This window comes from Homo sapiens, chromosome 2, assembly GCF_000001405.40.
Source record: "Homo sapiens chromosome 2, GRCh38.p14 Primary Assembly".
Classification (NCBI taxonomy): Eukaryota; Metazoa; Chordata; class Mammalia; order Primates; family Hominidae; genus Homo; species Homo sapiens.
Genome location: NC_000002.12, coordinates 25,215,601 through 25,227,148, shown reverse-complemented (window position 1 = coordinate 25,227,148; position 11,548 = coordinate 25,215,601). Strand labels below are relative to the sequence as shown.

The window sequence follows — 11,548 nt, the reverse complement described above, 5'->3', positions numbered from 1 at the left end:
TGTATGGCCCTCCCCAGAGCTGTCTTGCAAGTGGACAGTGCCTCATGGTCTGCAGAGCCCTTCACCCAGTGTTCCCTTTGTCTGCATGACTCAATAATCACTAGTTCTCTGTCCCCACCTATCTAAAGTGACCATCTGGCTGGGCGCAGTGGCTCATGCCTGTATTCCCAGCACTTTGGGAGGCTGAGGTGGATGGATCACCTGAGGTTGGGGGTTCAAGATCAGCCTGGCCAACATGCTGAAACCGCATCTCTACTAAAAATACAAAGATTAGCCGGGTGTGGTGGTGCACGCTTGTAATCCCAGCTACTTGGGAAGTTGAGGTAGGAGAATTGCTTGAACCTGGGAGGTGGAGGTTGCAGCGAGCTCTCATTGCGCCACTGCACTCCAGTGTGGGCTGGATACAGAGCGAGACTGTATCAAATAAATAAATAAATAAATGTGACCATCTGAATAAATGCAAGAACTGGGATGATTCATACCACATCTCAACTCTAAGACCTCAAGCATCTGTGTTTCAGTTTCATCTTCTAAGTGCCTAGCAGGTCTAGCCAGTGCTTGCTTCTCTTAAAGAAGGGTTACTTGGCTGGGCATGGTGGCTCACGCCTGTAATGCCAGCACACTGGGAGGCCGAGGGAGGTGGATCACTTGAGGTCAGGAGTTCGAGACCAGCCTGGCCAACATGGTGAAACCCTCTCTCTACTAAAAATACAAAAATTGTCCAGGCATGGTGGTGGGCACCTGTAATCCCAGCTACTCTGGAGGCTGAGGCAGGAGAATTGCTTGAAACCGGGAGGTGGAGATTGCAGTGAGCTAAGATTGTGCCACTGCACTGCAGCCTGGGTGACAGAGTGAGACTCTGTCTCAAAATAAAAAATAAAAAAAAGAGGAAGGGTTACTCAAGGTTTCTCTCTTACATTAGGTTTCAGGGAGGTTTAGGACTGTACCACTTCACTGGAAGTATTGAAAGAAATTATAAGGGGAACGTTTGAGGAAAAGGGGACAACCCTACTAAACTAACAGGTTTTTTCCTCATGGGCACGTCTTTCTTTTTTCACAAAGTTGTAACTATACATTTAACTTGTACTTTTTCTTAGTATTTTTCAGTGTTGATGTAGAATTATTTTTATTTCAATAGTTTTTGGGGTACAGGTGGTTTGGTTACATGGATGAGTTCTTTAGTAGTGGAATTTTTTTTTTTTTTTCCGTGAGACAGAGTCTCGCTCTGTCGCCCAGGCTGGAGTGCAGTGGCACAATCTCAGCTCACTGCAAGCTCCACCTCCTGGGTTTACGCCATTCTGCCTCAGCCTCCCGAGTAGCTGGGACTACAGGCGCCCGCCACCATGCCCGGCTAATTTTTTTTTGTATTTTTAGTAGAGACGGGGTTTCACCGTGTTAGCCAGGATGGTCTCGATCTCCTGACCTCATGATCCACCTGCCTCGGCCTCCCAAAGTGCTAGGATTACAGGCGTGAGCCACTGTGCCTGGCTGGAATTTTTTTTTTAAATGGCTTCGTGGCACTTTCTTGTTGGATATTTGTTTCTATTTTTTTATTTTAGCTACAAATAGAGCTTCTGTAAACATCTTTATGTTTTGGCTTTTTTCTGTCCATATTTTGTATTTTTTCCTTAAAATGGATTCCCAGAAATAAAACTTATTGGAGCAAAGTAGCTGCACATTTTGGTTGGCTCCTCACACATTTGCCTGGTTCTTCAGCTCTCAGGCTGTCAGTTCAGAAAGAAGCAAACCTGGTTCTTAGTTGGACCAATTCAGAAATGTGTTCATCTCAGTGGGGAAGTCAAGACCCAAGATTTTTTTTTCTTTTTGAGAGTCTAGAAATTAGCAAGAAGCAAGAGGTATAAGCAATTTCATCTGGCCACTGAATTTTGAAAATTAGCTTATCTGGAGGAATCCTGGTAGGAGATGGAACTCGGACTGAATCTTCAAGACTTAGCTCCAAAGAGAGATGGGAGGGCTGGGAGAGGTGGGCATTGGTGCCCTTTAGCTCTGGAAGCCATGCCTGATTGTCCCAGTGTCATCAGAGCTGGGAGTGGGAGGTCTGGCAAGAACTTACGGGACAGAGGGAGCTACTGGAGCCATTTGGTTAATAAATACCATTCTGTGACAGGCCGAGTGCAGTGGCTCACACCTGTAATGCCAGCACTTTGGGAGGCCGAGGCAAGCAGATTGCCTGAGCTCAGGAGTTTGAGACCAGCCTGGGCAACATGGCAAAACCCCGTCTCTACTAAAATTACAAAAAATTAGCTGGGCGTGGTGGTGTGTGCCTGTAATCCCAGCTATTTGGGAGGCTCAGGCAGAGAATCACTTGAACCTGGGAGGGGGAGTTTGCAGTGAACCAAGATGGCGCCACTGCACTCCAGCCTGGACCACAGAGAAAAACTCTGTCTCAAAAAAAAAAATAATAATAATAATAATAATAATAATAATAATAATAATAATAATAATGATCCTGTGACAGTCCTGAGTTTAAGCAAGGCGTCATTTGGTGGCAGAGGGGTAAGGAGAGACAGGAGAAGGGTCAGGGCTGGGCTGAGTCAAGGTAGTTGTGAAGTGACAGGTCCGCAGTCCCTGAGACCGCCTCAGTGGGCAGCTCCAGCCCTGTGTCTGCCTGGGTGTGGTGGAGATGCTGCGCACCGGGCCCAGGCTTGCCGGGTCAGCACAGTGGGTCTCGAGTGGAATGGAGGAGAGAGGGAGACAAGAGGCTGCCTGGGAGCTGGCTGGTGAAGAGGCCAAGTGTGCATATAGTAGTGTGCATATAGTAGGGTCAGCTGCCAGCATGGGGAGTGGATGTAATTCCGAGGGGTGTGGGTGTGGGCACATGGCTGCTATGAGGCCAACAACAAGTTTAGTTGCAGGTGGGGGCACAAAGTCACATCCAAGGGGGACGGGACCCCTGGGACTGTCTTCTAGAGTTACTTCCAAAGCTCCCTTTCTCCTTGGCTCTAATAAACATTTTTTTTTTTTTTGAGACAGAGTTTTGCTCTTGTTGTCCAAGCTGGAGTGCAACAGTGCGATCTCAGCTCACCACAACCTCCACCTCCCAGGTTGAAGTGATTCTCCTGCCTCAGCCTCCCGAGTAGCTGGGATTATAGGCGTACACCACCACGCCCGGCTAATTTTGTATTTTTAGTAGAGATGGGGTTTCTCATGTTGGTCATGCTGATCTCGAATTCCTGACTTCAGGTGATCCACCGGCCTCAGCCTCCCAAAGTGCTGGGATTACAGGCGTGAGCCACCACGCCCGGCCTCTAATACACTTTAAAAGGGTTGAGTCCCTCAGCAGCAGTTTCCTCATTTCACCTGTGACCCTATGAGGCGGTGCAGTTGTAGGAGTAACGTATCTGTTGCTTTGGGGACTATGGGTGGAGGCCTAGGCCTCCAAGGGATGGACAACTGACACAGAAATGTTCAGAGATAGATTCAAACCTCAGGGATCAACCCGGCCAGCGCCTAATTTTTCATCCCTAAGCCCCGATGCCCTGAACCGTGTCCTGGTTAGAAGAAAGTCTATCAGGGCCGGGCACGGTGGCTCACGCCTGTGATCCCAGTAGTTTGGGAGGCCGAGGCGGGTGGATCACCTGAGGTCAGGGGTTCGAGACCAGCCTGGCCAACACGGTGAAGCCCCATCTCTACTAAAAATACAAAACTTATCCAGGCGTGGTGGCAGGCGCCAGTAATCCCAGCTACCTGGGAGGCTGAGGCAGGAGAATTGCTTGAACCTGGGAGGCGGAGGTTGCAGTGAGCAGAGATAGTGCCACTGCACTCCAGCCTGGGCAACAGAGTGAGACTCCATCTTAAAAAACAACAACAACAACAACAAAAATTAACCAGGCATGGTGGCAAATGCCTATAGACCCAGCTACTTGGGAGGCTGAGGTGGGAGGATTGCTTGAACCCGGGAGGTGGAGGTTGCAGTGAGCCAAGATGGAGACACTGTACTCCAGCCTGGGCAACAGAGTGAGACTCCATCTCAAAAAAAAAGAAAGTCCATGGTATTTGGAACCCCCGATTTGCATCCTGTGTGACCTTGGGCCTGGGTCTTCTCCTTGGCAACTTGGGTTTTGTCTTCTCTCTTCCTGCATGTGGCCTCTGGTGGCTCCACCCCCAGCAGTGGGTGTGGGGAGTTAGTTGCCATGTGCTGGGAGGCGATAGACTGCAAGGAGCCCTGCCCTCAGAACCAAGGGTGTTAGCCAAAGTCAGGGTGTTTCTTGGATCATGAAAAGGAATTTGGAGCCTCCAGGGAAGCTTTGGTCCTGATGGAATCACAAGGCCCCACTACACCTAAACACAGAGGTGGATAAAATATTCCCCCCACACCCCACTGAATGGCCATCTCTTGCCCAGCCCTGCATCAGCTGAGGTGACAGCAATAGGCAACCCTTATTGGTCACTGCTTGGCCCAGTGTGAGAACTTTGTTATCTCCCTTGTCCTTCCCCCCATAACCCACCCCTCCCTTCCTGTCTCTCTAGCCTCTCTGCAGCCTCCCCGTGCAGCTCTGAATCCCACCATGCTTCTCAGACGTGGCTCTGTTTGGCATCATCAGTTTCACTGTTTCTCCCAGAGCACACAAACACGCCTCATGGCACCCATCTGTTTTATGCACATACACACATACACACACACACAGACACACACACTGCCCTTTACCACCCCCTGAAGCCCCGCTCTATTTCTCTTTTTTTTTTTTTTTTTGAGACGAAGTCTCACTCCGTCACCCAGGCTGGAGTGCAGTGGCGCGATCTCGGCTCACTGCAAGCTCCGCCTCCCGGGTTCACGCCATTCTCCTGCCTCAGCCTCCAGAGTAGCTGGGACTACAGGCACCCGCCACCACGCCCGGCTAATTTTTTCTATTTTTTTAGTAGAGACGGGGTTTCACTGCATTAGCCAGGATGGTCTCAATCGCCTGACCTTGTGATCCGCCTGCCTCAGTCTCCCAAAGTGCTGGGATTACAGGCGTGAGCCACCGCGCCCGGCCAGCCCCGCTCTATTTCTCTGCTCCACTTGACAGCAAAGATTGAAAGCCCCCTCTGTATTTGACGACTGTGCTGTCTTCACTTCCGGCCTCTCCTCCATCCATTCCAGGGGCCTGGGACCCTCCACTCTTACATGAGCCCTCAGCAACTACAACCCAGGAGACTTCCCGCCTCCCTGAAACCCCTTTTTCCCTAGGCTTCCTACCTTTCCCTTTCCTCTTCTCTAGACAGTGGAGGGCCCAGGGCTCCGGGATCTGTTTCCACTCCCTGACTTCTGGAGGCCCAGGTTCCTATAACCAAATTTCAGCTGGGCCTCTCCGCCTGGGTGTTCAACAGGCATCTCAGATGTGACCTGTCAAAAACAGAATCTTTGGTCTCCTCCCAACCTGCTCCCAATCTTCTGATCTTAAAGTAACTGGTGCTTAGCTGGTGCTGAACTCTGCCTTGATCCTCTTTCTGTCCCATACCACAGCCAGTCCACCAGCTTGTTCTTTTTTTTTTTTCTCTTTTGAGACTGAGTCTTGCTCTGTCACCCAGACTAGAGTGCAGTGGCGCGATCTCAGCTCACTGCAACCTCCACCTCCCGGGTTCAAGCGATTCTCGTGCCTCAGCCTCCCAAGTAGCTGGGATTACAAGAGTGCACCACCGTACCTGGCTAATATTTGTATTTTTAGTAGAGACGGGGATTTCTCCATGTTTGCCAGGCTGGTCTTGAACTCCTGACCTCAAGTAGTCCGCCCGCCTCAGCCTCCCAAAATGCTGGGATTACAGGCATTAGCCACCACACCCGGCCACCACCAGCTTATTCTGACAGCACTCACCTTTCAATGTATCCCCAACTCGGCCATTTTCACCTTGTCCCTGCTGCAGCTGTAGTCCAAGTCCCCATCATCTGTCCTCTAGCTGATCTCTGTCCCCTTCATACCACAACAGGTCTCTCTGCTTCTGTTCCTGTCCCTTCCAGCCCTTTCGACACACAGAATAATCTCATTAACCCATTCATGCCTGAGGTTGCAATTTTTTGAATTTTTGCAATCAGACCTTGGTGATGATCTTGAGCAGTAGGATATAAATAACTCCCACATGCCTAGCTTTCCAATAATGGAATGCTAGGCATAAATGGATAAAATCAAACCCTTTTTTAGTCTGGACAAGGTGGCTCACGCCTGTAATCCCAGCACTTTGGGGGGCCAAGGCAGGTGAATTTCTTGAGGTCAGGAGTTCGAGACCAGCCTGGGCAACATGTCGAAACCTCGTCTCTACAAAAAATACAAAAATTAGCCGGGCATGGTGGCACATGCCTGTAATCACAGCTACTTGGGAGGCTGAGGTGGGAGAATCATCTGAGCCTAGGAAGTCAAGCCTGCAGTGAGCCAAAATTGTGCCGATGCACTCCAGCCTGGGCTACAAAGCAAAACCCTGTCGCAAAACAAAACAAAACATAAAACGCTTTTTTTTAAAAAAAAAACCATCTTGTTGCTATGGCAGTGAGAATAAACTCTCCTACCCTGGCCTGCAAAGCCCCACCTTCCTCAAGCAACACTTCAGCAGCCTGGCCTTCTTCCTCATGACCACGTCAAGCTCTCCACCATCACAGGTCCTTTGCACGTGCTCCAGGCTCTGCCTGGAAAGCTCTCATCTCCCTCCTCTGCCTGCTTCCCATCATTCAGGTCTCAGCTCAGAGAAATCCTCCTTGACTGCTCTAGCTCAAGTAGTCTTTTTTTTTTTTTTTTTTTTCCTGAGACAGTCTTGCTCTGTCACTCAGGATGGATTGCAGTGGTGTAATCAGAGCTCACTGCAGCCTTGACCTCCTGGCTAATTAAAAATTTTTTTTTGTAGAGACAGGGGTAGAGGTCTTCCTGTGTTGCCCAGGCTGGTCTTGAACTCTTGGGCTCAAGCAATCCTCCCGCCTTGGCCTCCCAGAGTGCTAGCATTACAGGCCTGAGCCACCGTGCCCAGCCCTCAAGTAGCCTTATACCCACTCCTTTTTATTTTATGTACTATCTTCAGAACTGTCAGCCTCTGACATCCTTACTTATGATTTTGCTTACTATTTGTTGTCTGTCTTCTGCACTAAGATAAAAGTTCTGCAAGGGCAGACTCTTCTTTGTTTCTCCAGCATCCCCAGGGCCCAGACCAGGTCTCATACATAATTGTATGTGGTAGTTATAATCATTGTTACAACTACTGTGCACTGAGTGCTCAGCATGTACCAGAAATGGTTCTGTATTAACTTCACAACCCTTGTGCCTGGTAATATTGTCTCATTTTACAGATGGGACACATACTCTACTCATGGTCACAGGTGCACAGTGGCAACACCCACATTTCAAAACCTGTCTGTCCACTGCAGGTTACCTGCTCCCAGTCCACCTCTCACAGGCCTCGGGCTGGTCCCCCGGGGAGTGGTAGCTCCTCACTCTCTCTTTGAGGGTTTGGATATGCGGCCCCTCAGCCTTCCCCTGCCTTAGCCCTGGGTCCTTCTCCACCCACCACCCCAGGGGGCTGGCTCTGCAGAGGGGAGGGGAAGCACAGGCAGGAGCTGGAGGCCAGGGCCAAGTCAGTTTCCCCACTGGCTGTGTGACCTCGAGTGACTCTCTTCACCAGTCCTACGCTCTGCTTAGACGGGAGAGAAAGAATTGGGCCCTGTCTGCCTCACAGGTTGTGCTGAGGATTCGATGAAGTAGAGAATGGGGAAGGGCTTGGGACAGAGTAAAGGAGCGAAGGGCCACCTGTTTTCTCTGGAGGCTCTGACCACCCAGGGGCTTGGCCCAGTGGGTCCACTGCATTGCTCTGGTGCCCGGTCTAGGGGCTTCCAGGAGAACCAGGCAGTGGCACAGGAAGGTTGGGCTTGGGGTAACCTCAGCTATGGTGTCCCAGACCCTTGTGCTGGTCCAAGTTCCCAAGAGAGGCCCATCCCTGCCTCACATTTGAACCCCTTCACTTCAGTTTTCTGTTGCAGCTCTTTGTGTCTTTTGTGGCTCTTATCACAATTGCTAATCATTTTGTTTACTTATTTATTGTGTCTCCCTCACTAGAACGGAAATCCAAGAGGGCAGAAACTGACTATGTTGTCCTCCATTGTACCGCTGGAAGCTCACTATCTGTTTGTTGAGTGAATCGGTAATCGCACCTGCAGAGATCTCCAGAACAGGGGCTCTCACTGTCTTAGAAGCCTCTTTTACTGGGCAGACCATGGTTTAGGGAGTTTTTGACAATGTCTGGGACCTCTTAAGTTAGTCCCAACTCAGCTGCCGAAACACCTAGGTTACGTCCACAGTGTCCAAGGGCAAGGAGAAGGGAAGCAGCATTTGTTTTTTGTTTGGTTTTGTTGTTGTTGTTCTTGTTTTTTTTTTTTTGTTTTTTTTTTTGAGACAGGGTCTCTCTCTGTCACCCAGGCTGGAGTGCAGTGGTACGATCAGGGCTTACCACAGCCTCGACCTCCCGGGCTCAGGTGATCCTCCCACTTCAGCTTCCTAAGTAGCTGGGACTACAGGTACATGAGAGCCCACCCAGCTGATTTTTGTATTTTTTGTAGAGACAGGGTCCCACTATGTTGCACAGGCTGGTCTCTGACTCCTGGGCTCAAGTAATCTGCCTGCCTTGGTCTCCCAAAGTGCTGAGATTCCAGGCGTGAGCCACTGCGCCCAGCCATCTTTGTTACTGAGTGTCCACTATGTCTGAGGAATTTGCTCCTGCAGCTGCAAACATGACTGAACTTCCTGTGAGCCCCGGCTTGAGTCCTTTACATGAATTACTTCATATAATTCTCATGCAAAGGCCTCAGGTAATTACGCCTATTTTACAGATGGGAAAATTGAGGTTCATTAAGATTACACAACTTGCCAGGGAGAAGGGCTGAGGTGCTGTTCCAACATCCCAGCCCACCAGGCTGTTTCCACTCTCCACACTTCCTCAAAGCAAGCATCTGCCCAAGGGGAGGGTCGCCTGGGCTCTCAGAGCAACCTCTACATTGAAAAGAATGAATCAAGGGCTTAAAAAAAAAAAACAAACTGATATAACAGGACCTTTTTCTCCTAGGCCTAAAATTATATTAACTGCACCAAATTTTAAAATAACCAAAAAAAGGAAAAAGTAAAAATTATTCATAATCCCACCTTCCTGAGATAATCACCTTTGGAATGTTTCTTTTTTCTTTTGTATTAGATACATATACTTTACTAACTTAAAACCACATTGTTCACTAATACCCTGTTTTTTAATAATTACTAGCATTTACTGCCACTTTGTGCCAGATATTTTTCTGTGAACATTTTATTGTGAACATTTTCCCACATCACTAAATATTCTTGGAAAATATCACTTATGTATGTATTTATTTATTATTTAGAGATGGGGTCTTACTCTGTCACCCAGACAGGACTGCAGCAACATGATCACAGCTCACTAAAGCCTGGAACTCCTAGGCTCAAGTGATCCTCCCACATCTGCCTCCCAAGTAGCTGGGACTACAGGGATGCCATACGCCTAGTTAATTTTTTTTTTTTTTTTTTTTTTTTTTTTTTGTAGCGATGGTGTTTCACTGTGTTACCTAGGCTGTTCCCAGAAAACACCTTTTTTTTTTTTTTTTTTTTTTGAGTCAGAATCTCACTCTTGTCGCCCAGGCTGGAGTGCAATGGCTCGATCTCGGCTCGCTGCAACCTCCGCCTGCCGGGTTCAAGCGATTCTCCTACTTCAGCCTCCTGAGTAGCTGGGATTACAGCCGTCGGCCACCATGCCCAACTAATTTTTGTATTTTTAGTTGAGACGGAGTTTCACCATGTTAGCCAGGCTGGTCTCGAACTCCTGACCTCAAGTGATCCACTCGCCTTGGCCTCCCAAAGTGCTAGGATTACAGGCGTGAGCCACCATGCCCGGCCGAAAACACCATTTTTTAATGACTGCATACTACTTCACCCAGAAATATTCCATGATTTATTTAATCCATTTCCTTATCCTGGACAGTTCCAGTATTACCTTTTCCTTGGAAGGTGCAATTATCTTTTTTTTTTCTATTTATTATTTATTTACTTATTTAGAAACGGTCTTTCTCTGTCGCCCAGGCTGGAGTGCAGTGGCGCGATCTCGGCTCATTGCAGTCTCCACCTCCCAGGCTCAGGCGATCCTCCCGCCTAAGCCTCCTTAGTAGCTGGGACCACAGATGCGCGTCACCACGCCCGGGTAATTAAAAAATTTTTTAAAAAATAGGCCGGGCGCGGTGGCTCATGCCTGTAATCCCATCACTTTGGGAGGCCGAGGCGGGCGGATGACCTGAGGTCGGGAGTTCGAGATGAGCCTGACCAACATGGAGAAACCCCGTCTCTACTAAAAATACAAAATTAGTTGGGCATTGTGGCGCATGCCTGTAATCCCAGCTACTCAGGAGGCTGAGGCAGGAGAATCGCTTGAATCTGGGAGGCGGAGGTTGCGGTGAGCCGAGATCGCGCCATTGCACCGCAGCCTGGGCAACAAGATTGAAACTCCGTCTCAAAAAAAATACAAAATAAAAATAAATAAAGATAAAAATTTATTTTAAGAGATGGAGGTCTCCATGTTGGTCAGGCTGGTCTCGAACTCCCAGGCTCAAGCCATCCTCCCTCCTCGTCCTCCAAAAGTGCTGGGATTACAGGCGCGAGCCACCGCGCCCGCCGGCGCAATTATCACCGATGCTGCATTGAGTGAGCATTATAGCGTGTTCCTTCACTCATCGAAATACCTTTACATACATTTTTGTAAAAAACAAAAACGACCCCGCCCCGCAGACTCAGGAGAAAAGCAGCCAGGAGCGGTGGGTGGGAGGGTGCTGCGAGCTGGGGCTCCGCAGCGTAGCTGGGTGCGGGTCCTGAACCGGCGCAGGGGCCTTTCGACGGGCGCCGGGCACTCCGGCTGGCGGCGCGCTGGGCCTGGGGCCCGCAGGTCCCAGGCGCCCCGCCCCAACGCATGCGCGCGCACTGCCCTTCCCGAGCCGGGCCCCCCGAGCGCGTGGCCGCGGTTTCCTCCCCAGCTGCCCGCGGGGGCTTCCGGGGGTACAGGAAGGTCCCGCCCCGCTCGGGCGGGGCCAGCGCACCGACGTGGCGCCCTCCGCGGCTCTGCTCGCCGGGGTGGCGCGGTGACCTGCACACCCCCCTGCCTGCAAGCTGCGCGCGGTCGAGCCGGGCCGTTCTGCTGGGCGCCCGGACCTTGTCGTTTTTTAGGATAAATGCCTCGGGCGTATTTCGGGTCGAGGGCTCGGGTCCCATATTACTAAATTTGCCCCAGAAAGGCTGAGCGCCCCCCTCCGTGCCGAGCCAGAGGGCGACTGCTGGAAGGGCTCACCTTTACCTGGAGTCCCTTGGGTGTCTCTTGGCGTTCTCAGAGGAAGAACTTTTGGATGAAGTCGCGTGTGTTGGTGGGGATGGGACTCGGGTGGTCGCCAGGAGCAGGAGTCTAGTGATGAGGGGTCCCAGAGGGTTTGGGTGGCAACCTCCGGTAACCTTTGGCGCTAGGAAGTTTTTGTTGTTGTTGAACTACTGTAGTAGGAGCGTAATCAATAAGTAGTAGGAGCATAATCAAT

The 11,548-nt window shown here is 50.2% G+C and overlaps 5 annotated features.

Annotated features, from left to right (window-relative positions):
- Window positions 563-622: an enhancer, noted in NCBI's record as "active region_15444". NCBI's record gives its function as "activates an Ori minimal core promoter by ATAC-STARR-seq in GM12878 lymphoblastoid cells {active_cell/tissue: GM12878}" and the evidence as "EXISTENCE:reporter gene assay evidence [ECO:0000049][PMID:35858748]".
- Window positions 633-712: an enhancer, noted in NCBI's record as "active region_15443". NCBI's record gives its function as "activates an Ori minimal core promoter by ATAC-STARR-seq in GM12878 lymphoblastoid cells {active_cell/tissue: GM12878}" and the evidence as "EXISTENCE:reporter gene assay evidence [ECO:0000049][PMID:35858748]".
- Window positions 763-892: an enhancer, noted in NCBI's record as "active region_15442". NCBI's record gives its function as "activates an Ori minimal core promoter by ATAC-STARR-seq in GM12878 lymphoblastoid cells {active_cell/tissue: GM12878}" and the evidence as "EXISTENCE:reporter gene assay evidence [ECO:0000049][PMID:35858748]".
- Window positions 10,238-10,755: an enhancer, noted in NCBI's record as "H3K4me1 hESC enhancer chr2:25439263-25439780 (GRCh37/hg19 assembly coordinates)". NCBI's record gives its function as "activates a minimal SCP1, AML or CMV promoter by ChIP-STARR-seq in naive H9 embryonic stem cells {active_cell/tissue: H9 hESC(naive)}" and the evidence as "EXISTENCE:reporter gene assay evidence [ECO:0000049][PMID:30033119]".
- Window positions 10,849-11,188: a silencer, noted in NCBI's record as "silent region_11247". NCBI's record gives its function as "represses an Ori minimal core promoter by ATAC-STARR-seq in GM12878 lymphoblastoid cells {active_cell/tissue: GM12878}" and the evidence as "EXISTENCE:reporter gene assay evidence [ECO:0000049][PMID:35858748]".